This window comes from Homo sapiens, chromosome 6 (assembly GCF_000001405.40).
Source record: "Homo sapiens chromosome 6, GRCh38.p14 Primary Assembly".
NCBI classification, from domain to species: domain Eukaryota; kingdom Metazoa; phylum Chordata; class Mammalia; order Primates; family Hominidae; genus Homo; species Homo sapiens.
This window is the reverse complement of record NC_000006.12, coordinates 3,371,338-3,397,947: the sequence shown is the minus strand read 5'-3', so window position 1 is coordinate 3,397,947 and position 26,610 is coordinate 3,371,338. Positions and strand designations below refer to the sequence as shown.

Here is a 26,610-nt window from a genome sequence, read left to right as displayed (position 1 = left end):
ATTCTTGGTCATTTGCTCCCCGTTGGGCTGACCTCAGTGCTTGGAGCGTGATTGTGTCTCATATCTCATTATGTCATTCCCTTACCTCTTTTTAGAAAGAACCATATACAGCCCCGGAGTGTAAGAGTTAGACATCTAGTAGCTACAGTGAATCTTGGCTTGAGACCTCCCTTTTGGCACACCTCAGCATGTGTGCATGTATATAGCATGGTGCTGTATAGCTGAGCACTGTTTTGATATTAAAGAGTAAAAAGGGATTGAGGCTATCATGATAGTGCCTTGACAACAATGGATGATAATAAGCTATTTATTCAGCATTTTCTAAGTTCAGAAACTATGCTGAGTTATACATATGTACATATACACAAATATATAGAAAGATATGTAAATTTCATAGTAACCATGTAAAGTAGCTCCCACAAATAGCCCCATTTTACAGTTAAGGAAACTGAGACCTCTAATTCCTGGACCTTGTCTAATTTGCTAGAGATGCCTTTAAGCCAGAGATAACACTTACTGAGCTTGTACACTGCGTCTTCCCTGAGCCCCTCTCGCCAGGGAGCCTGGCCAGCCAGGATGTGACTCTCCATAGGTGACACGGAATTGTCATGTGGGGACTGTGCAAAGGTGAACTTTTTCACTGCTGAGTGCTATGGAACTATTTAATCCACCCAGTAATTCTGTGATATGAGCACTCATTTCATAAACAGAAATCTGAGGCCTAGGGAAGGTAACTTGCCTAAGGTTACATACTAATGAAATGGGAAAAGTTCCCTTGTCCCCCTTGCAGGGTGTGGGATGGGAGAGTGGGTCACTCTTCCAGTGCCCTGCTGCTCAAACCTCTAGAGGAGCATAAAGCGGACAGGCTGTGGGGCTGCGACCCCACAGCAGCGTCTATGGGTGAATGTTTACAGCTCCTGAAGCCCCGGTGGGCGTGCGTGACGGGGTGCTCTTTTAGTTTAGCCATCGGAAGGCAGCTTGTGTTGGCTCAGTCAGACCCCTGCCTTATTGCAAGGACACAGGGCTTTCTGTATCCTGGGGTTCTTGCCTTGGTGTACCAGAAGAATCGGATCAACCTGGGTTTGGAGAATGAGTGCAAGGTTTTATTGAGCGGAAGTAGTTGTCAGCAGATGCGGGAGCCAGAAGGGAGATGGGTTTTCCCTGGAGTCAGGCTGCTCGGCAGCCTCGCTCTTCTCCGACTGCCCCACCAAATTCCATGTCATTCTGCTGGTCGATGGCCTGCCAGCCTGCTGGTGCATGCCGGTGCCTGCTGGGGCATTCCTCTCAACATCCAGCCGCCTGTGTGTTCCTCTGCTGATGTGCTCCTCTCAATGTCCAGCTGCCTGTGTGCCTCCCTGCTAGGGTCTTGGGGTTTGTTGTTGTTGTTTTGTTTTGTTTTTGAGGTGGAGTCTCACTCTGTCACCAGGCTGGAGTGCAGTGGCGCGATCTTGGCTCACTGCAACCTCTGCCTCCCGGGTTCAAGTGATTCTCCTGCCTCAGCCTCCCGAGTAGCTGGGACTACAGATGCCCAGCTAATTTTTGTATTTTTAGTAGAGATGGGGATTCACCATGTTGGTCAGGATGGTCTCGATCTCTTGACCTCATGGTCTGCCCGCCTTGGCCTCCCAAAGAGCTGGGATTACAGGCATAAGCCACTGCACCTGGCCATCTCCGGGGCACAGGATGGGGGCGTGGCAGGCCAGGGTGGTCTTGGGCAGGAAATGCCTGTCCTCACCTAGGTCTGTGGGGATGGAGCCCTAGCCAGGGACCATGCCCTCCTCTACCCAGCTCTTCCCTTCCTAGCACTTCCCTTCCGTATATCACTAAGAGATGGAGCAAACAGAACTTCCCCGGTCCCAAGTCCGCCTGGCTCTAGTGCCCTGTTTATACTGCTGTGTTGTTCCCAACAGCCCCATCTTTTTTTGACTTGAAATATGTTAGTATAGTATTATTTAAATGTGTACAATCATCTTGTAAGGAATTTGCATGAGTTCTCGTAACTTCCAAATAACTATAAAACCAAAATATTAACAACAGTTTCAAAACCTGTATAATATAATTTCAATCCAGGAGTTCCATGTGATGGACAATAGTCTTTTCCTGAAACAGAATTACCCACTGACTCATGATGGGTTGAATAGGAGAAAGATGTAGCTTCAGATTCAGATTAATATTTAATCTATTTTGGCATTTTGACTTGAGTAATGCCAGTATACATGTTGCCTTTTTGCGTAATTTTGCCATCTGAGATGGCAGTGATTTTAAGGCTTGGCTGACATGGAATACTCAAGCTTTATGTATTTCACCCCTGGCCTGCTCCATGAGCAAGCCTCAGTCATTCGCTATAATGGGGTGCCTGATGGCTGCGCTACTCTATCTGTCTCCTGAAGATAAAGTTAGATTTGTGGCATTACTTTAAAGTAATAATTAAATATGCAGTTAGTCCATTTATGGCTGTCATTGAGATTGGAAGCATTCGTTATTGCCTGTTTTCCTATTACTCTTCTTGCTAATGAAGCTGATCTTTACAAGATGGATGGGCACAGTCCTTGTGGTCCCCTGCCTGACGCTCAGGCTCAGTAGGGTTTGCCGTACGCATGTGAGATCTTGATTCTCCTACTACTTTATTCATACCTGTTAGACCTGCATTTGTGCAGCCAGTCATGGTGACATGTGGCCTTTGGTGCGTATAAATCCAGATGAAAATGTGGGCTCCAAAATCTTATTATAGGTTCACACTGGGCTACAGGCATCCCATCCAGATGATTGAGAATACCCTTGTATTAATATAAGACTAAGTTTTTCACTGACATGAGAGCATACGATTTTAAAACTTCTGTAGACTGCCAAGAACACACCCAGAGATGGCTACAATATTCCTGCCCACTTCCGGAGCCAGCATCCTGGAGCCCAGCCCCACCTTGGTGACCCGTCCTCCCTGCCTCATACCTGCCCGCCTTGGTGCCTGCTTTTCATCACTGGGTTGATGGTGTGGTTTAGACCTGCCCCCTGCCTGTGACTCCATGGTTGGGCTGCCTCTGTGACTCTCTGGCTGCTTTCTCCAGCATCTGAGGATGAAGTCCCTTCCCCGAGTCTTAGCCCCTGTCACCAGGGAGCCTGGCCAGACAGGATGTGACTCTCCACAGAGGACATGGGACTATCATGTGGGGGCTGTGCAAAGGTAGACCAGAGCGGGGCAGGCCTCAGAGCGACGTGGAGACTTAAGGGGTCTGGTCTTTACCCTGTGGGCCCTGGAGAGCCACTGCCAGCTTTTTGAGGGACAAAGTGATGTGCTTTGCTTTGTGTTTGGGGGGGATCACTCTGGGGGTCACACCCTTCTGATTCCAGGGGCTGCCATGAAGCAACCATAGTTTGTGCAGTTTCACAAATTCAACCTGATAATTTCCTCTTTGATGCAGTAGGCATCCCTGGAAAAAGTTAAATGGAGAACTAATCACTCAAATCTATATTTCCCATAAATGAAATTTACCACAATCATTCCTGTTCTTGACAGTTTTGCCACTGAAAAGATGGTCTTTGGAATCATCATTCAGTTTTCTTGTGTTTCACCTGGGCTTCTTGAGTCCCGTGAGTCTAGAGCCCACCAACCACATACAGGAATTATTGTGAGAACTTTCATGTGTGCCTGGAGTTGCTGGGGGAGTATCTGATGACTCTGTGATACACGGATCTTGTTCTTTGCAAGGATTTAATTGAATTACAGAATGCACCACCCAGAGAGTACAAGCTGCAGTCCCGGGATATTACAGTGCCCGATCCCTCTTTTCCTTTGTAATTGTTACTCTAAAGCACAGTGGTGTTCTCTGACCAGTTCTGGGTTGGACCTTATTTTCCGTGTCTTTAGTGGGGTCACTGCCGGATCTTATTTCATGTTCTCTGCAGGGGGTCATTGCTCTTCTGCTGTGTTTCCAAGCTCTCCTTTTTGGCATTTTTCCTTTTCACCTTGTGACGGTAGAAGCGAATGTTTGCACAGTTGGCTTTTCCATTTGTGATGCCTGTGTGGAGTGCAGGGAGAGGAGGGAAGGGCACAGGGAGAAGCCACACCATCTCCAGGGCCTGAGAGGCCGTTGCCTCGTTCCTATCCTCTTTTCAGAGGGATGAAGAGGTAACTCCGAATGAAGGAACGATTGAAAACCTGAGAATAATTACCCGCTGAGAAGCTATGCAGACCGCTGCCCTCTTCAAACGTTGAAAGTTATTATAAACAGTTTGTAAACATGAACCCAAAGAATTTGGACAAAGGCGTGGAGCAATGGTTGTCACATGTCTAAGTTATAAAAGGAAAATCAAGTGGGAAACATGTATTTCTGCTGCCATTTTCCCGCTCACATCATCCTATGAGGCAAACCAAGCATAATCAACAGTTTCAAAGAGGAACTTAGAGGAGGGTTTAGGTCAGAGCTGCCTAAGAGAACCTGCAGCATCAAGGCAAATGTTCTCTACCTGCACTGCCCAATAGTCCAGCACTAGGCACGTGTGCTATTGAGTGCTTGAGATGTGCAGGAGTAACTAAGGGACTGAATTTGTCATTTAAAACCATTTTAATTCACATAAGTAACCACGTATGGCTCGTGGCTATTATATTGGATGGGCCCAGTTCAGGCAGCAAGTAGAATTAGAGACAGTAGCATCATTTCTCCCTTTCACAGCAAAACTTCTCCAAACATGAGCCCCAAGCATTGTCTCTGGGGCCTTGCTTTCCGTCCTTGCCTCAGTCCACTGAGGCTTTCGTCACCCCCGCTGCTCAGGTGGAATTCCCTTGATAAGATAACCCACAGCCTCCAGGCTGCCACAGGCTTGGTCATTTTCTCTTTTGCTTATCTGAACTTCTCAGCAGTGTCTGACCCAGCTTGACCACACCCTCTTCTTTGCTTTCATGATACCTCACCCACTTGGCTTTTCCCTTCCTTTGCCCTCCCTCCAAAGGTTGGATCTGGGGCTCCTGACATTTCTCCATCTACACTCTCTGTGTGTCTGCTCTGCTAGAAACATGGCACTAATTCACCTCTCCATAGGCCAGAGACTCCCAGGTGTATATCACCAACTCTGACCTCCCTGCTGAGTTCCAAAATCGTATACCCTACTGCCTTGTGGATGTTCCACTTGGATGTCCAGTAGGCATTTCAGATTGTGTGGCCAAAACAGAACCCTCCTTCCTCCCACATCCTCAGAGCCATCCCTCCCTAGAACCATTATCCATGCAGTTGCTCAAGCCAAAAATGGGTAAGAGTCACCCTTTCTTCTCTCTCTCTCCCTTGATCAGCAAATCCTCTCAGTTCTTCCTCCAAATTACATTCTGAGTCCCTCAATTTCTCTGTCTCCACTGCCACCCCCTGAGGCAAAGCCTTTTCATTTCATGCCTGGAAAACTAAGCACAATGGCTTTCTAACTGATCTTCTTGCTTCCTGTTCAGACCTCTACAGCTCATTCTTCACTTACAACTAGGGTGATATTCATACAGCCTGAATCAGAGCTTCTACTCTCCTGCATCGATCTGTCTATATAGTTAGCAATAGCTTCATTTCTGAAAGCACTTAAAACCAGAACAACAGGGATTTAAACAAAGTGGAGTTTATTTCTATCATCAATATAGTCAGTCCTGGGCTGCTGTGGCAGTCCCATGACACTGGGAGCCCAGGCCCCTTCTGCTGTCCTAATCCAGCCAGCAGAGCAGTGGAAAAGAGGAAGAAGGAACACTCCTTCCCCTTCAGGTCACTGCTCAGAAGTCATGGGTACCACTTTTCACATCCCATTGGCCAGATCTCAGCAACCTATCCACACCCAATTGCAAGGGTGGCTGGAGAACTTGGTCTTGTTTTGTACAGCTATGAGCCTGTAGGAAGAAGGGGAGCATGGTCTTGGAGGATGACTGGTGGTCTTTGCCACACGCTCTAACAGCTTCCATCGTGCATTCCAAATGCTACTGCAGTCCATGCTATCTTGCATGGTTTGGCCCTTTGATCTTGCACTGTGTCCAGCCAGATGGATCTTTCAGCTCCTGCTTGCTCCTTAGTTCCTTTGTACTCACCTTTCCCTCTGCCTGAAATGCTCCCCTCCAGACCTCTGCAGGCCTGGTCCGGTCTTGTCACTATGATCGCTTTTCAGTTGATGCCTGTGGAACTTTCTCAGGCTAGCTAGTCTAATCAGTACCCAAACAATTTCTTCAGACTCACCCAGCCTTTTTTAAAGCATCTGCCCTACCTTAAAATACCTTCATTTATTTGTGTATTTGTATCTCCGCATACCACTCATCCACTCTAGAGGAAACACCTTGAAAGCAGGGTCCTTATTGTTCTTGCTCTCCACTCCATTTCCAGTGCTTGGATTTGCACCTGGCACAGAATGGGTATCTAAATACTAGTTTGATGAATGAATGAATTCATGGAACATGATGAATGAATGAATTCATGGAACACGATGAAGATCTGTGCCGCAGTATTGCAGAATAGATATACATATGTGATTCTAAATTGTTAAAGCTGGAAGGGCTAGACTTTTTAGTCCAATTCCCACATATTAGAGATATATCACAAGTGTTTTTGAATAGTAGAGGGAATTTGCTGAGATTTCTCACAAAGCCTCATGACCCAGATGGATTTGGCGTGGATGCCCGAACAGTTGGTGGGATTCAAAACCTGTTGCTCAACCCACATCCTACAGGTATTGATTAATGAATTGATATCAGCAAGAATAAAGTCTCCATGAGCTGGTGAGGACATTTGTGTGCAAATCACATTTCCATGAGCCCAAAAGGGGAATGGTGAATAATGAATGATAACCTAGAGTCACTCTCTTCCTTTTCCTTACCATTACTGGTTGATTCCCCCGAGTCATTGCTGTTATTTTCATTGTAGCTCCGTGAGAGAAGGGACAGGGCTGATCTTGTATCTTCTTGTCAGGGGCATTTTTGGTAAGTTTGAGAAATTTTTCATCACTCTAATGAGTCAGGGTATGATTCTCTTCATTCCATTCAGGCAGTTGACCAAATTCACGGAAAAAGAGGCGCCAACATCAACAGTAAGTGTCATGGTTCCCTCAGATCTCTGGGTGCGGCTTCTGGGCAGAACTCCAGCTTCCGCATTGGAAGCCAGTGGTTTGGCAGATAGGCAGCATATTATTGAAGCCTGTAGGGCCTGAGACTGATGTTTAGAATATAAATGTTCAGTGATGATGTTTAGTACACTCCATAGCCCCACTTGGGGTCCACTGATACATACCAGGCTCAGAGATGCTGAGTGGCAGCCAGCTTTTGGTGCATTGAACTGATCCATAGTGAAATAGAACCATAGTGGCCCCAGTGTGTACATCTCTGCATTAGGTTATTCTTAGGTAACATTTAAACCTGCAAGTGAACCCGAAGTGTACCTCAGAACTCTAGGCCCCGGGGAGCACTAGAGTTCACTCCAACTGTGTGGCTTTCTTCTCATGAGAGATCCTGTGGACTAAGGTCATGGTAGATGTGAACAGAATTCTTAGCCTTCTCATGTTAGGTTGGCACTTGGACTTAATTGGACTTTGGGGAGGGAGGAGAGAGGGAGAGTGGGGCAGAGAAGAGGGATGCAGGATCTACTTAGATCTCTCTGCATTCTGACAGAGGGGCATCTTTTAAAATCTAATTGAGTAGTATTCTGTGATTGAGGCCAATTACCTGAGATGGCTGAGTGTTTCAATTTCCAGGCAGTTCTGCTTTCTTTCTTCGGTACCTTTCCTCCTCGGTGTCATTGGATGTGAAGTTTAACATAGGCCTGGAGGTTATGGAGAGAGCCTCATTCCTTTTCCTGACTGTGGCTCACCGCTGGTTGCTGTTCCGGATGAGCCCACGGACGGATGGTGGCAACTGGCCCAGTGATGCCGTGCCAGGAGAACTCTGTTCATTTCATCCCAAACCAGGCCTTTTTTTGAAATGCAAAGTGATGATGTCACTTTTGTATTTTAGCCCATCCTTTGACTGGCTGAGTCTTATTTTTGGAGGATGGGTACATCAGCTTTGCGAAGTTAGCCAAAAGGCAACAATGAGAGCGAATCTTTGAAACCGGTTCCAGCAAGGCCGTTCTCCACTAACGGGTGTGGTGCTGTGCAGTGGATTCCAAGCAGCTGGCAGCAGCCTGAAATGCACGTACCAGCTCCCTTTCCCCTTATGCCTGCTTTGCAGGGGTGATTCTGATCCTTCGGTAAGTCAGGAAGGATAACTTCATCCCTGTACTTTCTCCTGCACAGGCTCTAGGCCATCTCCATGAGTGATTCCACCACCCTGAGGAGTTTAGGGCTTCATGGAGTGGGAGGAGGGGTGACTGTAGTGAGCCTGAAATGGTGGTGAGGCCGGGCAGTAAGAGAGCAGTAGACAGAAAGGATGCCAAGCACTCTGTGGAGACATTGTCTCTGTTCCTCGCCCCACCTCCCTGCTGAGAGAGGCCTTCCCTGACTGCCTCCTCAGCGCTCACCAGCTTGTTTCTCTGGTCACAGTCTCCTACTCTAATTGTCTGCATAGACTTCAATTTCAATTGTGATAGAAAACATATCCCATAACATTTACTATCTTAACCATTTTTAAGTGTACATTTCAATAATGTTAAGCGTATTCGCATCGTGCTTCTGTCATGCCATTCAGCCCCAGCACTTTGTTGTTGTTGCTTTTTTTTTTTTTTTTTTTTTTTTTTTGAGACAGAGTTTTGCTCTTGTTGCCCAGGCTAGAGTGCAGTGGTGCAGTCTTGGCTCACTGCAACCTCCACCTCCCGGGTTGCAGTGATTCTCCTGCCTCAGACTCCTGAGTAGCTGGGATCTCAGGCATGCTCCACCACACCCAGCTAATTTTTATATTTTTCGTAGAGATGGGGCTTCACCATGTTGGCCAGGCTGGTCTCGAGCTCCTGACCTCGAGTGATCTGCCCGCCGCAGCCTCCCAAAGTGCTGGGATTACAGGAGTGAGCCACCACGCCCGCAGCCACCACAGAACTTTTTCATTTGCAGAACTGAAACTCTGGTCTGCAAAAAATACGAACTCCCCATTCCCCCTCCCCACAGCCCCTGGGAACCCCCATTCTGCTGTCTGTCTCTTTGAATTTGACAACGCTAGGTACCTTATAAGTAGCATCAGATGGTATTTGTCCTATTGTGACTGATCTACTTCAGTTAGCATCATGTCTTCAAGGTTCATCACACTGCAGCTCGGGACAAGATTTTCTTCCTTCTCAAGGCTGTATCATGTTCCATTGTATCCATGTATCTGTATGGATGGACCGCATTTTGCTTATCCATTCATCAGTTGATGGAGACTTGAGTTGCTTCCATGTTTTAGCTGTTGTGAATAACGCTGCTATGAACTTGGTTGTACAATTTCTGAGTACCTTCTTTCATTTGTTTTAGGCATATACCCAGAAGTGGGATGGCTGGGTCATATGGTAATTGTATTTTTATGTTTTCGAGGAAGTGTCACAGTTTTCCACGGTGGCTGGCTGTTCCATCTGACATTCCCACCAGCAGGCCACAAGGGTTTCAGTTTCTCCACATCCTCGCCCAAAACTTGTCATTTTCTTTTTTGTTTTTGTTTGATGGTAGCATTGTGATCTGCATACACTTTCCACTCTGATGTTTTTGTTTATTGCATTTTGTTTCTGTTTATTGCATTTTATTGCATTTTATTGCATTTCTGCCCTCCCCCATGAGGAAGTATGTGAGCTCTGTGACACCAGCACTTTCACCTGACCTATTGAGTCTCACGTTCCAAAGCACTGGATACATTTGTTGGATGAGTCTCCTTCGTTCTTTGTTGAATGAACCCCCTTCTGTGTTTCTGTGGCGGGCTTGCCCTCTCCCTACATCTAGGCCAGTGAGCCATTTTGATTTTACAAAGTCAAGGGCTGCACCAGTGATTTGAGTGCTTGGTTGTAGCCTGCATCCGGTTTTAATTTGATTTTAGGATAACTGGTGGGAAAAATTGCACTTGCCAGAGGGGACTTGTTGGGCTTCTCTTTCAGGCAGCAGGAACAGCACGAATTCCACCGAAAGGAGATGCCGTGGCACAGACTGTCGTGGGCTGCCAGGACATCCTCGCTGCGGCCTGCCTTCTCCTTTCCTGCCACTCACCCTCAGAGAACTTTATCAGAGAAGCCCACGACTCTTGGGTTTCGTTAACTCTTTGAATGAAATATACATATACTTACTTGTTCACCATATTTTAAAAACATTTTAAAGTAGAGGAGTGGCAAAAGCAGTACAGTTAAAATAATTTTAGACTTACAGAGGAATGGCAAAGGCAGTACAGAGATTTTCTGTAAGCCCTTCACTCACCCGCCTTCCGCTAACGTGAACTCACATAACCACGCTACGGTCCCCAGAGCTGAGAAACGGACGTTGTCGTGGGACTAACTAAACGACGGACTTTCCTTGAATCTCACCAGTGTTTTCTCTACTGTCCTTTTTCTGTTCCAGAACACTCTATTAAATGTAGCTGTGTCTCCACAGTCGCCTCTGATCTGTGACAGTTCCTTGGGTTTGTCTTTTGTGACCTTAACACTGTGATGAGGACAGTGGTGTAACGGGTTGGTATTTTGCAGAATGCCCCTCGATGTGGGTCTGTCTGATACTTTCTCTTGATCAGACTAGGGGGAAGAGCACCACCCTGCTCATGGCGTCGTATCGAGGCAGGAGCTCTGACGTCAGCGTGAGCTGTCACTGGTCACGCTAACCTTCCTCAGTTGAGATGGGGTCTGCCAGGCTTCTCCTCTGCAGTTACTAGTTTTCCCTTTCTCCACTTAGTTTGTTAGGAGTGAGTCACTTTATTTCTTCAGCAAAGGGACTCACAGCTATGAAGGGCAGATAATCCATGTGGCTAGGTACACTGCTGTTTACCTCCTCACTCCTCAAAAAGCTGTCTCTTCTAAACGTGTGTATTTTTTAAAGGTTAGTAGGGTTTTTCTGAGAAACAAAGGTGAAAATCTGGGTGAGGTTGGAAGAGAAGAGTTGTGTGTGGTTGTTGTTGATTTCAAAGGCTGGAGTGGTGGTCTGAGTGACGAACCAGAGAAAGGCCTGCTGCACCCTGGGGTGCCTGCCCCGCCCTGGGGTGCCGGCCCTGTGGAAGCAAGTCCTTGTTCCCCATGTTGCTGCCAGGTCCGTGTGTCAGCATCAGAGTATGCAGACTTTCCAGATGTCCTTCCAGTGGTGCCCTGGGTGGGAGACCCAGTCCCACTGCCGCCTCCACCCCTCCCACGCTGGGTGACCCTGGGGCAGGTCCCCGGCAGTCCTGGATTCACTCTTTTCATCTGTAGAGCAAGAGGGTTGGCCCTGGAAGGCCGTTCTGAGCTCTCGGGCTGTCCCCAGCCACGCTTGGCACGGCTACTGAGGAGCAAGCAGCCTCCAAGCCTGGCAGTGCCAGCCTCCTCTGTGTCTGGAAGAACAAGGCTGCCTCAGAACCCGGAGCCTCCTGTTGGCTGCTTTATTCAGACCCTCCCCCACTTTCCAGAGAAGCCAACTTCTTGAGGAGGAAAGAGAAGCACCAACTCCTGGTGCCACATCCAGGGACCCCAGGGCTGGTTGTGCGTGTGGCGTACACAGAGCAAGCGTGCTCTCCCTTCTCCTTCGCTCTCCAGCCTGAGGCTTGTCTGCCCTCCAGCTTGGGCCACCGCCACCCTGAGCAGCCTTTTCTGCCTCCCCTTCCTACCTCCCCTGCCTTGGGTTTCTAAACCCCTAACCGTGCACTGTCAGGGCACACTGGCTTCCCTGTGATGCTCCCAGCTAATGTCAACCCAGATCATTAATAAATCCACCTCGTCAGGTAATGAGACACCCGGGAGGGGTGTGGAAAGGTGTGAGTTCTTCAAGCCGATTGAAGTCCCCTCATCAGTGACCACAGGAATGGGCATGAATGGGGAATTTGAGAGCCGCATCATTTAGAGTGAGATGTGTCACATCTGGCAGCGTCCTGCTCAAATGCGGGGCTTGGGTGTTTGTTGCAGTATCTTGGCAGCCTAATAGGCTATTCTGTGGATGTTCTTTTTGGAAAAGAACTGTGAAAAAAAATGAGATGACCACATTTCCCTTTGCAGTATTCTAGCTCTAATACGTCTCTCTGTCCTGGTAACAGAGTGCTCTCTGAGGAATGTTGTTTGTTTTGAGGACAGGGAGTTTTTGTTTTTCATATGGGCCAGTTGCAGGCACATGTGTTTGTGGGCAGCCCTGGTCAGGAGTGGCTGGCACTGAGCATGGGCTGTGACTTCAGAGGACTTCCCCAAGGAGCCCAGACTTGTAAGGGAACTCAGACAATTAGCTCCAACAGTAGGGGACAAAGCTAATTTTTAGTAAACTTGTCAGTTGTGTGGTTCAGCTAAGGCACCTGTGTTTTACAACTTTCTGTTTGATCATGGTAAAATACACATACCATAAAATTTACCATCTTAACCTTTTTTTTTGTTTTTTGAGACAGAGTTCTGCTCTGTCGCCCAGGCTAGAGTGCAGTGGCACCATCTCTGCACACTGCAACCTCTGCCTCCCAGACTCAAGGACTTCTTGTGCCTCAGACTCCCAAGTAGTTGGAACTATAGCCATGGGCCACCGCACCCGGCTAATTTTTTTTGTATTTTTAGTAGAGACAGGATTTTGCTGTGTTGGCCAGGCTGGTCTCAAACTCCTGGCCTCAAGTGATCCACCCACCTTGGCCTCTCAAAGTGCTGGGATTACAGGCATGAGCCACCGTGCCCAGCCCATCTTAACCATTTAAGTGTATGGTTCAGTGGCATTAAGTTCATTCACCCTCTAGGGCACCCCTCACCACCATCCATCTCCAGAACTCTTTTCATCTTCCCAAACTGAAAGTGCACCCATTTAACAACAAATTCCCATTCTCCCTCCTCTCCCCAGCCCTTGGTAACCGCCGTTCTCCTTTCTGTCTCTATGGATTTCACTACACTAGTGCCTCATATAAATGGATTCATACAGCATTTGTTTTTCTGTGACTGGCTTATTCCACTGAGCATAATGTCCTCCATGTTCAGACATGTTGCAGCAGATATGAGAATCCCCTTCCTTTTTAAGGCGGGATCGTATTATATCGTATGGATAGGCCACATTTTGTTCACCCATTCACACTTAGGTTGCTTCCACATTCTCGCTATTGTGAATACTGCTGCTGTGAACACATGTGTGTGTTTTTGAGTTCCTGCTTTCAGTTCTTGAAGGACTATACCCAGAAGTAGAAATGCTGGATCATATGATTTGGGGGACTTTTAAAATCACTGTGTTCTTTGGAGGCTATCTGTGAGGTTCTGGCTTAACTTACCATAAGCATTAATGAATAAAAGTTTTTATTGACATTTTTAAAAATAGAAATAACAAGCAAAAAGAATGTGGTAATTATTTGGTAATTAAGGTTCAAGTTCAAACTAGGTAGTGTGATGATGAAACCAAAAGGCAGCTCTGTTCCGTGATTTATTTTCTTTGTATCATTATCTACCTCCATGTTTATTCTTGCCACCAGGAAAATGTGTTTTTTAAGTGATTTTCCCACTGATATGATTTAGAAGTATTTATAAAGTATTTACAGCATTCGTAATTTTTACTTATCTATACTTTTAAAGGATTAAGAAACATTCTTAGACAGAAATGCTTATTTAACATGAGTCTGAGATTAAAACCTATTTTTATAAAGCAGACGTATGATAGGAGATTGTTTACTTTAGAGAAGGAGCAACCACTTTGCAAAGATTCACTGTGAGATGTCTTTACAATTGCAGCCCTACAGGTGCATGAATATTTAATTCAATGTACTAAAAGTCAATTTATACAAAAATGTTTTCTCCTGCTTGTAGCAGTCTATAAGCATCTGCTATGATAATGAAGCACCTCATGCAATTTTGGCCTGGCACCGTTTTTGTTCTTCTCAAGTAATAGGGGTGTACATCATTACTGCGGACATCCGGGAGCTGGCACCGGTCTCAACCCAGCAGAAACCTGAGGGACTTTAGGGTACCAGAGGAAGCTGATGTTGCCACAGCCAGAAGAATCTTGTAAAAAGGCAGCTCTGATCATGTCACTTTACTCCATACCATAAATCCTTCAAAGGCTCTCATTGCTTTTAGAATAAAGGCTTTCTGTGGCTGGTCAGGCGCATAGTAGGACCTCAGGGGGCCCTCTCAGCCCCGTCGCCCGCCCCCACCTCACTTGCTCTGCCTGTTTTGCTGAGCTGGTATCAGTTCCTTGAAAACCTTGCAATCTGTGTCATCACTGGACTTTCGCCAGAACACTCTCCTGTGACTTTTTCTCAGGGTGAAGTTTGCTCATAAAGTCCTCAGATAAGGTTGGCGCCACTTTTTCTAGGGATTTTCTTCTGACCCCTCACATCAGAGTCAGAGGCCCCTCCTCCGTGTGCCTGTAGCACTCTCCACTGTCCTAGTCACAGAATCATAGCGCTCGTCACACTGACTCTGTGTTCAACATGGTTTGGTTTTATTTAACCACGGAGTAGATATAAAAATACTAATAAGATATATGTCAGCTATAAAGGATTCTACACCGTGCACGTTCATGTACTCACTACCCGGCTTTGGTGCCTTTCAGGCACCCTGGGTGTCCCTCCCCAGCCCCACCCTCAGAGAAAAAACCAGCCAGAATTTTGTGTTATTTGTTCCCTTTTCTTTATTATTTTACCTCATCTGTTAGTATGCATAAACAGTACATCATTTAGTTTTGCATTTTTAATAAGTCAAATCATACCGTGTGTGTTCCTCCATACGTTATCTTTCACTCAGCATTATTTCTGAGATGCCGCCTGTGTTGATCTTTATAGCTTTATCATTTGTTTGTTTCTCTGCTGTCTGAATATGCTGCTATCATTTGGGCTGTCATTGCTTTTATACATCTCTCTATTCCTTCTCTTTCCCTTACACCCCCATCTTCACCCTAACACACAATTTTAGTCTCCAAAAGGAGTTTATCTTGCTCGTTGTTATGTCTTAGGATCTGGCATAAGAAAATGTTTGTTAAATGAAGTGCATACCCTTTGGTCTGAGAGTCTGTCTGTAAACAATGAGTGAGTTTACCATTCCATCATTCCATCAGTAATCAGCAGCAATGCCCTTCTTTGGCAAGAGCTCTTTCCTCCCTACACCTTCCCTTGCTATAATACTAGACTAGGACTCAACAAACTTTTTCTGTAATGTCCCAGATGGCAAATATTTTAGGCTTTGCAGGCCATATGTTTTTTGCCACAGCTACTTAATCCTGCCACCATAACATAAAGCAGCCATAGATGATATGTAAACAAATGGGTGTTACAATAAAGCTTTATTAACAAAAGCAGGCAGTGGGCCAAATTTGTCCCACAGGCTATAGTTTGCCAACCTCTGTCGTAGATGACTCACCTGGTTGGAAGGAAGGACAATGTTGCTACTAGGTCAGAGATGGGAAACTTTGATCACAGAGCCCAGGGGGACTCGCCCAGTCTATTAATAGTACAGGCAAGGATAAAGCTGAGCTTGTGATACCTCATAAGGCCTTGAGGCAAAATAAAAGTTGAGGGAGAAAGGTAGCAATTTTCAGACTAGGGCGTAAGTGCATCTTAAGGGTCAGTATGTTATGCATTGTAAACTACGTTACAAAGCCACAACTAAAAATACTACCATGAGATTTGAATTTTAGGCTGGGACAGAGTTTAGCTATTCACCTCACTGTCCTTCATCTGACACTTTCTTCCCTGATTCATCTCCAGCATCTGAGGCTTGAGCCTGGCTGGCTGTGCATACTGAGGACTAAGAGTTGGTGGCTCAACCCTGTCACTCTGTCAAGCATGCAGAATAGATTCTCATGGAGAAAATATTGACTTATCTTTGTTGAACTGAGAGAGCAGAGCAGCATCCTTGAAGAGCTCTAAGTACAAGTGGAGGATCCACCTCCACTGAGTTATTCCCCTTATGTTAAAGTGGACCCCCTTGTCATCGTGACATCAGGGTAAGTGAGGCGGAACATTGCAGGGAAAGAGCATGGGCCTGGGGCAGACAGATGGGAATCTGGGTCACTCATAGTCTTCTCATTCTTTAAGCAGGGTGCATGCCTGTCTCACAAAATCATTGTGAGGGGTGTGTCTTGCTCATGGTGGCAGCAAATGAGTCTGAAAGGAGCGTGGCTGAGGGAGGCCAAGAGGATGCTGATAAGAAAAGGAACTAGGGACTTTACTGTGCACTGCCAGGCATTGTTCTAGCTCTTTTCTCCTGATTCCATTCTCACCATAAGCCTGTAAGAAATAAATTCCACTACTGTCCCCCTCGCACAGATGGTAAATGGAGCAGAGAGAAGGCAGGGCGCTGGGCCAGGCTTGCTTGGCTGGAAGGCTGTAGAGCTGGGATTGGGAGCACAGCGTGTCTGGCTGGAGAGTCCCCACTCTTCTCTGCGACATGGTTTATCACAGTGGCTGTGCTGATATTTTAAGCCTGGCTGTTGTTAATTTTTATTGGGGACTGGTCCTGAAACGCCTCACCACTGAGGCTACTCAGTCAGCCCCATTCTGCTGTCCTGTAGTTAGTTGATCCTGCCCAACCTATGGCAGAATAGACAAAAGGTGTCCTAGGGAAAGGTCCCCAAAAAGATCAGAGTATAAAGTTGAAGATGGCTGAGCCCCCACTGTACTACAGTGCTGTGGTTAATGGGCAGATGGACCTCACTAAGGCAGGCTTCTCTTCCTCACCTCCCCACAGAGAGGCCCCAGCAGGCTGGGGAGATGTGGTGTCCCCATGCCTGGCAGAGAGATAGCCACGGGAAGGGACTTCAGTTAGTCCTTTTGATGGTTCTCGGGCTCTGATGAAGGAGACACAGAAAGTGGCCTAGAGACATCAGCCATTCCCCTAAGGACACAAAGCACCCAGGACGTGGTGTCAGTGCCTTCACATACGAGGCATCTCTGAAGCAGTTTCAAAAAGTTGAAGAGATTTCAAAATGCCCATGAGGTTAGGCAGATTCCTGTGACTGGTCCTGACCAATGAGCTGCGAGTGGAAGTGACCTGTCACTTCTGGGCTGGAGCATTCAGTTACCTGTAAGAGACCTGCTAGGCCTCCTGGATGCCGGCCAGCAGCATTCACAATGGTAGCTGCTCCGTCAGCCTGCATCCCCACGTGACAATGACAAGCAGAGACCCACCAGCCCTCAATAGGCATGTATTGTGAATAAGAAATAAGCTGTTGGCATTTTCAGCCTCTGAGATTTTAAAAAGTTGTTACTTCAGTGCAACACAGCTTGTGGCTGATACACAAACTCACTGCAGTTTTCCCCGTCCTTGCTAATAGCTTGATTTTTTTTTTTAATAACTTAATGTGAGTTAGTACTAGCATGAAAGGATGTTAGTGTTGACTTTGGGTGTATAGAGTTTTGTAGAGAGTAAATAGGAAGTTCCAAAATAGAGTCCGGTTTCACAGGACTTTGTACATATTGATTTAAATCTACCGGAATGCCTAGTTTCATGATAATGTCAATAAATGTTTGATTCATTGGTCAGGCCATTGTTGGGCCACTCAGATGTATGGAAATACTATTAGCTGATGCATCCAAATTAGTTATTCCCTGGAATATTCTTCTTACCAATTCCTTATTATTGTGGTTTGAAATAGTTCAGCCTTATACTACTATCTTACTTAACTATGTCAAGATAGGTTAGTGGAGGGGTTATAGTCAAGGCTATCATGCCTGTTCACCCAGACCAATTCATTTCAGTTTGAAGCTTTCATCTAAATGTTTCTAAAGCCTGCTCACCTTGTTGAGTTTGGGTAAGCCACTCACCCCTATGGAGTCAGTGTTGTTCAGATATCAAGCGCTACTCTGGCTTAGAATTCATATTCTATTATTTATGTCTTTAACAGAGATTGTTTGGGATTTCTGTACTCTTCACCCTCTAGCCCCCTCATCCCTCATTATGTTCTCACATTTCCTCTCTTTATCTCTCCCACAGGCATGTGTACAGATGCACGCACGTGCACACACACACACACACACGCATCCACACTCCTTTCTCTCCAAAGATTTAAACTGATCCTGTTCTAAGATCCCTGATACTGGGGAAATGTGTGCACAATATTTATCATCCCTAATAAATGAAACCACAGGAACCCTTTGAAGCCCCTGCTGGGAGCTGAGGGCAGCTCGTTGAGTAGTCATCAGGCAATCTGAGCCCGTCCCAGCTGCATGACTTCTGTTTGAATTGCATAAGTTTCTACGTAAGCACATGCTGCAAAGGTTTAGGTTTTCAACTTGTGTTCAAGGTGATATGAAGCGAGGGTAGTCTTGGTGGGAGAATTTTAGTATTGGGGGAAAGGAACAAATGGCAGCATTTCAGTCCCCAAAATGTTTGTTTGCCTTTCTCTTTCACCTAAGCTAAACTATCCAAAACCACGTGGAAAACGCTGTCTATCCTTCTCTCTGCCCACCCTCGCACACCTCCCAAATCCCCTGTCTAAGCCCTGCAAGTGTAAAGCCTTGAATTTGCTGCATGGTGTTCGATAGTTCTGTGACAGCGTTCCATAGCAGGAGATACACATCTCATTCTGGACAATGAGAAGCACACTCTGAACTTTATCAGGGAGCATTAGGTGGTTTTTTGAGTTCATAGATAGTCATTAAAAAGATAGACCATTCCCTCAAAGAACTCCAAATCCAGCAGGTTTTTAAACTACTTTTGCCAAGAGGAAAGAGCATGTTTATTGGGGGAAGCCGAAGTCCCCTTGGTGGAGGAGAAGGACATTTTAGAATTGTTGCTGTGGTCTAGACTCAACATCAGAGACTAGAACTTGTCTCAGAGACAGGCCAGCCATGGGAGAGAATCTCCAGAGAGCTCATTAAGGGCACCAGAATTACACTGTGGAGAAAACAGGGCAAAAAGTGTCATGCTGGCAGGGAGGCCCAGACAACTCTCCCATAAAGACAGGTTTTGCCTGACCTGCAACTTAGAGCCCAGGCCACGATTCAGCTCCTCCTTCATGTTAAAACCTGACACTGAGGCCAGGCGCGGTGGCTCAAGCCTGTAATCCCAGCACTTTGGGAGGCTGAGGCAGGTGGATCACCTGAGATCAGGAGTTCAAGACCAGCCTGGCCAACATGGTGAAACCCCATCTCTACTAAAAATACAAAAAATTAGCCGGGTGTGGTGGCAGGTGCCTGTAATCCCAGCTACTCAGGAGGCTGAGGCAAGAGAATCGCTTGAACCCTGGAGGCGGAGGTTGCAGTGAGCCGAGATCACGCCATTGCACTCCAGCCTGGGCAACAAGAGCAAAACTCCATCTCAAAAAAAAAAAAAAAAAGAAAAAAGAAAAGAAAAAAAAAGTCTGACACAGAGAGAGGTTCAGAGGCATATCTAAGGCTGGACAGATGGTATCTGAGCCAGGGTGAGAACTTAGACTTCCAGTCTAATGCCCTTCAAGTAGTGAAAGCCAGTCACAGTCGACAGATAAGAACCACATAAAATAGGAGAGGAAGTGATGGCTTTTCAAAGGAAACAATTACCCTGTTGCCTCAGTAGCAACAGCAGCAATGGTCGCTTTGTAAAAAGTTTTAAAAATACCCTCAAGTCTTTCAGGAGTAAGTGCTGAATCACGGGCCGAGGTCTGCAGGTGCTTTCACCCTTCTATTCCTGGGAGAACGGTCCTGGTTCTCACCACCCATGCCTGATGGACTTCGGGCCATGTTGACTTCTGACCTCTCAGTGCACCCACCTGACAAACATGGGCCCAGCTAGGAGGGAAAACGACCAAAGGCTTCCAGGTCAGCTGAGCAAAAAGTACAAAGTGTTCGGAGCCATCGGTGATATTAAATGTTAAAGAGGAGTTGCGGGCATGTAGGAATCAGTCATAAGTGCCCTAGGTATTCTTAGGTATGTGGCGTCGTGGTGGTTTCCGGGTAAACAGATTCCATAACAACCATTGCCCTGCCCAGCAGACACCTCGGGACTCCTGGGTGTCCTGTTCCCTGGAGGAATTGCTCCCAGGAGCTGTGAAACAGCAACATCCTCAGGCTGGCAGAACTGCTGATACCTCAAGTGCCCTGTTGTTCTTTTGGTGGCTGCTGGGCAGTGGAAGGGGCACGATCCCCTCTGCAGCGGCTGTTCTCTGGAGGAGCTGAGACTGCCTGTATGAGGTGTAAGTACTTCCCTGCCAGGGCCACTGTGCTAGTGTCATTCCATCTTGGGATGTTGTCAATAGTCTCCTCACTCGTTTCCCCACCTACAGCCTCTGCCTGGCCCAGTGCTGTTCTCCACTGCTCATTGTCTTTCTTTAGTACAGCCTGAGATCACTGATCTGCAGCCTAGACACGTTCAGTGCGAGACTTGGAGGGGCACAGTTTACTCCTCAGGTCCTGTGGATGCAGCTGCATGGGAGGGGAAGGCATTAAAGCCATAATGGTGCTTTCTGCCTTCATGCTGCCCACAGACTGGAGAGAGCACACACGTGGCACCCAGTCACTGCACCATTCAGGCACAGCAGGGTGGCCTCCCCTGCCAGAGGGTCCAGGAGGCCTGGCAGAGGTCTGGCAGTTGGTGGGCTCTCTTAGCATTCATCCCACTGCTTTCCATCCAGTGTTCCCTCTGTTGACCCTCTCCATTCCATCATTCCATCAGTAATCAGCAGCAATGCCCTTCTTTGGCCAAGAGCCCTTTCCTCCCTACACCTTCCCTGGCTATAATACTAGACTAGGGCTCAGCAAACTTTTTCTGTAATGTCCCAGATGGTAAATATTTTGGGCTTTGCAGGCCATATGTTTTTTGTCACAACTACTTAATCCTGTCACCATAGCATAAGGCAGCCACAGATGATATGTAAACAAATGGGTGTTACAATAAAGCTTTATTTACAAAAACAGGCAGTGGGCCAAATTTGTCCCGCAGGCTGCAGTTTGCCAACCTCTGCTCTAGATGACTCACCTGATTGGAAGTAAGGACAATATTGCTACTAGATCAGAATTGGAGCTCTCCACCCAGCCCTTCCCCCGACACCTTCATGTGGACCCTCTCCTCCATCTGAAATGCCCTTCTTCCTCCATCTACCATTTGCATAGCCACATTCTATCTGTTTCTCAGGGACCAACTCAGAAGGCCCTTTTTCTTGAAAGATCTTCTTCCCATCTCCCCCACCCTCCCAGCCAGGAGGCCAGCCTCACTCCCCAAACCCCTGCAGGACCTACTTCACTTTTGCCTTTCTTACAGGATGCCTTCTCACTCCAGCTAGTCTACGAGATAATTGTCTGTCCTGTCCATTTTTGTCCAAATGACCTAATACAGTGAACTGTGCCTAAATACACTGAATGAAATGCTTGTAAAATAAGCGAATGATGTAAGGATTGATGCTGGGTGGCTGAAAGTCTTTGGAAATTTAGGAGAAGGGAAAGAACGGCATGAACTTTGAAAGATAGGAAAGTCTCCCTATGGAAGGAAGGACTCGAGAGGGAGGTATTTAGTTGGGCAGAAGGACAAGAAGGCACATTCTGGGGTGAAAGAGGCACAGAGCTACTGAAATGGGAGCTACAGGATGTCGGTGGGGGCAGGCAGAGGGAAGGTGCGAGGTGAGGGGCGGTAGGGACTATAACCCAGCTCAGAAAGGTCAACTTCAGAGGAGGACAGTGGGAAGGTTTGCTTTGCTCCGTGATATAGAGTTGGTTTCCTTTGGCTGGGGCACAGCAATGGGCAGATGCGTTGCTCAAATCAGACGTTGAAATGAAGAAGGAGGAGGAGGCAGCTGGGTGTCCAGTCTTCAGTCTGGTTTCCCGCTAATGGACAGAGCTCTGCAATGACTGCACAATAAACCTTTTATTCTGAAGCCAGCATTGGTATTTACTGATATGCTCTTACTGGCACAATTGTTTAATAAAATCTGCACGATCTTTATTGCCTGAAAAGCAATGTGTTTTTCCAAAGAAATGTATATGGCCATAAAATATTCAAAAATGAAATATGGAAGAGGCTTCCTAATGCCTTCTAGAAATAGAATTGAAATACACATGGCACCAAATGAATTTATTTCTACTATTAAAATTCCTAATTTACCAACTACTTAAAAGGCAACTTCAAGTAAGCAGAATAGGCGTGTGTTTTCCTCTGAGGGGAATATTTTAATAAGAATAGAGACAGTTGATAGATAGATATTTGTACCTGGATCTTTTCATTCTGCTCCATTAAACCAGAAATTGGTCTTTGCCAGTAGTGACCAAGTATATGTGTCCAAAGCAAGATGATTAACTGGAAGGGGGCCAATTGCAGAAGTGCTTATCCTGTCATATTTAATACCCACCTTATATATTCAACACAGATATACACATTAGAGGCTTTAAATCCCCTCTGTGGTGAGAGAGACTATACACAAAGCTGTAAATTACATCTGCTGAAAATAGGTTGAGCAGTTTCTCCCCAGAACTCATATCCCTGCCCACAGTGATGGCCTCAGCACTAGCCCACTGGCCCACATTGATTCTGGCAATAAAGCTCACTGTAGTGCACCACTACCATAGTCAGCGAATGGTTTAGTTGGACGCATAACTGTGCTGAATATATTGAAAAGCAATTAGCTTCCTGAGGGTCAGTAGCTGACATTCCATTTCAAAACACTGAATGTTGTCAGATATAATCATGAGAATTCATCAGACTCTACAGAGTTTATAAGCAATAATTTGACAGGAGGTGGTTTGCTTTGAATCTGGGAGTACTGAAAATGTTAAATGATGAATAGAGGTGGATAAACCAACTATCAACTGGTTCATTTTTTTCATAGGCTTGTTTGTCATTTTTTTCTGCTGATTTTTTTCTTCCTGTAGCTTGTTGTCATTTGAAGTCTCACTTCTTATCGCTATTGAGATGACTGTTTTCCTTTGTGCATAATTTTGTGTGAAATAAAGAATGTTTGGATTTTCTTCCAAGACATCCTTACTCCCATCATCAGCACCGTTGTTCATTCAGTTTTCTGCGTTTACTCTTCAAAGACCCCTGCCACTGTTAATGAGCTACCAGAGTCCATCAGTTTCCTCTTTAGAAATGGTTCTTAAAAACCACAGCCACCACCCAAATTCTAACCTGAGTCTATTAGAATCCTAAAAGGATAAAGTGGGAAAGAATGTCAGAGATGGTTCTCTGAGGTCTTACTTGGACAGATCTAGCACTGAAACTGCCTCCAGTTTTGGGTTTGGCCTGTCCCCAGGGCTGGCTGTGCTGGGTGACATTGTGCTGAGATTCCAGCAGCAACTTGTCAGCTCCTTGCTCTGCTTCAGGGCTTCGGCCCAGCTAAGCCATCCCTCTCTTCTGCCCCCAGATTCATCTTCCCAAATCCTCACTTTCATTATGGTCACTTTCTTTCTCACTGGCTACCAATTACTTTCACACTTTTTTTACTTAAGGGTCATCATAGTTTCAGCCCGCCCAGTTTCTCCAAAGCACACCCTTTATTCCAGCCAACCTTCCTTTGGCTCCTCAACTTGTCGCCCTCATTGCTGGCTCCAGCACTTTGCTCATGTTGTTACTGTCAGGTAGATTGCTAGTTTTCCTTTCTGACTCTCCAGGATTTACCTTCAGGATCCATCCTCCATGTGTTTCCTTCTGCCTGTCATCACAGGCCTCCCAGTCCCCAGTGGTTATTCTCATCCACCCAGCTGGCGTCCGACCGCTCACCATGTGCATGGTGCCAGGGAGGGAACCCAAAGATATACCAGGCTTGAGCCTGGACATATAGCTGAGAGCCCAGCATAGGCATTCTGACTTGCACACAAATCATTCTGCTGCTGGAGAGGATGTCATAAATGATATTTAACAAAAGAAAAAGATGTAGGTAAAGTTGGGCCTGTGTTTATGCTAGTGCAGACCTCTCTCTATGTCCAGAGAGAGGTAGTATGATATAATGGTTAAGTAGTGAGGTTTTGAAATCAGAGGATGTGTTGCTGATAACTAGCCTTGTGACCTTGGGCAGATACTTAACCTTTTTGTGCTCAGCTTCCTCATCTGTAAAGATGGAGATAACAAAAGTACCTGCCTCCCAAGGTTGCCGTGAGGATTGCTGGAGTTAACGTCAAAGTGCTTAGGACAGTGCCTGGCACGTAGTGGGCACCAGATGAGTGTCCACTGTTCACTGTTACTGCCATCATCATCATCTCCATTGCTGCCTCCTTTACTGGACCGTAAGTTTCTGAAGGGCAGCGATCACAGTGTCACTGTCCCCTGAGTGTGTAATTGGTGCCTGGTCAACACTGAATGGAACAATAGGTGACCTGCTGTTGCTGCTGCTTCCTCCTCTTCTTCCTCCTCCTCCTCTTCCTTTTCTTCTTCCTTTCTTCTTCTTCTTTCTTTTTTTTCTTCTTCTTCTCTTTTTCTTCCCAGCTTCTTCTTTTGATTTAGGGTGGGTATAGTCAGAGCCCTCCACCTCTCCCCCAGGCCTTCCTATGCCTCACAAAGCACTGCTCCAGAAGAACAGTATTCTAAAATGAATTGGCTGAGGATGGCTGTGTCAGGGGTCCCCAAGACCACCCCCAGGTTGGCTGAATAACTGGGAACCACAGCACTCAGCATATAGTTGTACATGTGGCTATGATTTATTACAGCAAAAGGACACAGAGCAAAATCAGCAAAGGGGAAAAGCAGATGGGGCAAAGTCCAGAGGAAACCAGACACAAGCTTCTAAGAGTCTTCTCCCAGCGGAGTCACACAGGATGTGCTGACTTCCCCCACATGGGATTGTGACAACACATGTCCAGGGTTGTCTACCAGGGAATCGCACTAGAGACTTAGTGCCCGGGGGGTTTTGTGGGACTGGTCACACAGGCACAGGCTGCCTGGTGCATGCCAACATCCCAGACTCCCAGAAGGAAAGCACTTGCTTGGCACAATCCACATTGTTTGTGAGACATCTTAGGGAAGATCAGTTAGGGGACAGTGTTAACCCTTCGGAATCCAACTTCCCAGATGCCAGCCAAGAACCAGCCTCGCAGGCAGGCCTTCCTAAGCAGAGCAGCCTCAGAACTCATGGGTTAATTCTTTCCTGCATGATAACATAGGCTGAAGGCACGGACTGGGCAAGCTTTTGGCTAATTGGAGTTTTACGGAAGAATCCTGACTCTCACTTAGTGTATTTTAAGTATTTCATAAATGTTTGGCGATGAAATATAATGAAGAGAAAGAGATTTGAGATCGACATTGTGAAATAAAAACAAGTCAGAATTTGGAAGAGAATGTTGGCCTAGATTGTCCTAGGACTTGCGCACCCTGAGGCTCCATATCTAACGCCCCGGCTGTGCTCCAGCTCCCTGGGATGCTCATGGTCTCACCTGCTGCTCCCAGCTGAGCTGGGAGGCTGCAGTCCATGCTGAGGGCCCTGTGCATGAGACATGGGGGGAAGCCACGGTTTCCTCAGGCCACGCCACCAGTACACGACAGAGCTCCAGGCTGGTGTCTGGCCCCTGAACTCCACAGCCCACATGTGTTCCTTCCACACAAGACAGTAAAGCTCAAGTGTAAGAAAGATCTCCCTGGACTTCTCCTCATGCCCTGCTCTGTCCACCTTACGTGCTGTCAGCAGCCACGCCCATCCCCCCTTCCCAGCACAGCCAGCAGGAGGAGCCTGCAGGCTTAGACCTTCGTGCATCTTGCCACTTTTATTCCACATTTTCAAATCCCTGTTACCTGTTACTGCATTCATACCCTACTTTGAAACACTAGATGGACAAGATTTACTGGCCCGATGGTGTTTACCCTGCTTCAGACTTCCTTGCCCTTCCCTTGCATATTCAGAGTCCCAAGTGGTCCAGCCTCATCACAGGAGTCTGTGCCCTCGAGGCAGAGCTCAGATCCTGGACTAGGTTGCCCAGGTTCATGGCCTCAGCACGGATGCTTCTAGCTGTTTAAGCATGGGCTAGGAACTGTTCCTCAGTTTCCTCATCTGTAAATTAGGGATGATGAGAGTACATACCTCCTGGGATGGTCGTGGGATTAAAGAAGATACCATATTGTATTGATTCTAAGATGCATCCTCCAAAACACACATACTCTTGAGCATTTGTGAATCAGGATCTTACAATCGATGCTGTGTCAGAGGTTAACTCGCAGCTTTTTCTTTCTTGGTGGTACATTCAATAATGGTGCATCTTAAAATCGATGGCATCTTAGGTTAGATAATATACTGTAAAAAGTAGGTAGCACTTAACACAGTGCCTGGCAGGAAATAAATGTTCAGGAGGGTTAGTTGTTACTGCTTTATCAATGTGGTTATCATCATCAAGGAAGGAGATTAGCTAACATTCATTTGGTGTTTTCTGTGTTTCAGTATCTAATTCTTAGAACCCACAAGACAAAGATTTTTATCCCCATTTTACAAATGAGAAAACTGAGGTTCAGGAAGTTCAGGCAATTCCCCTCCACCCATAGAGCTGGTAAGGGGCAGGCCTGAGGGTCCATCCAGGAGTCTAAGCCCCCGCCTACTGGCCAAAGCCAGCTGCCTGTTTTCATAGCCGCCTGCAAGCTATGAATGGTTTTTACATTTTTAAACAGTTGAGAAAAAAAATCAAAAGCTCAATGTTTTGTGACACATGAAAATTTAGGAAATTTCCATTTCAATGTCCACAAATAAAGTTTTATTAGATCACAGCCCTGGCAACCC

At 46.4% G+C, this 26,610-nt stretch overlaps 1 protein-coding gene across 18 annotated transcripts in view, besides 1 other annotated feature; it reads left to right on the top strand.

Annotated features, from left to right (window-relative positions):
• SLC22A23 (solute carrier family 22 member 23) overlaps positions 1-26,610 on the top strand; it is a 188,078-nt gene that overhangs the window by 59,103 nt on the left and 102,365 nt on the right. For 2 of the 18 annotated variants that reach the window (XM_017011184.2, XM_047419241.1), the window contains exon 1: positions 19,923-20,124. The exons of the other annotated variants lie outside the window; for them this stretch is intronic. The gene's annotated coding sequence lies outside the window, so the exon portion shown is untranslated. Of the gene's footprint in view, positions 1-19,922; positions 20,125-26,610 lie in introns of those variants that run through there. 18 annotated transcript variants of the gene reach the window in all.
• Positions 20,364-20,463: an enhancer, noted in NCBI's record as "active region_23890". NCBI's record gives its function as "activates an Ori minimal core promoter by ATAC-STARR-seq in GM12878 lymphoblastoid cells {active_cell/tissue: GM12878}" and the evidence as "EXISTENCE:reporter gene assay evidence [ECO:0000049][PMID:35858748]".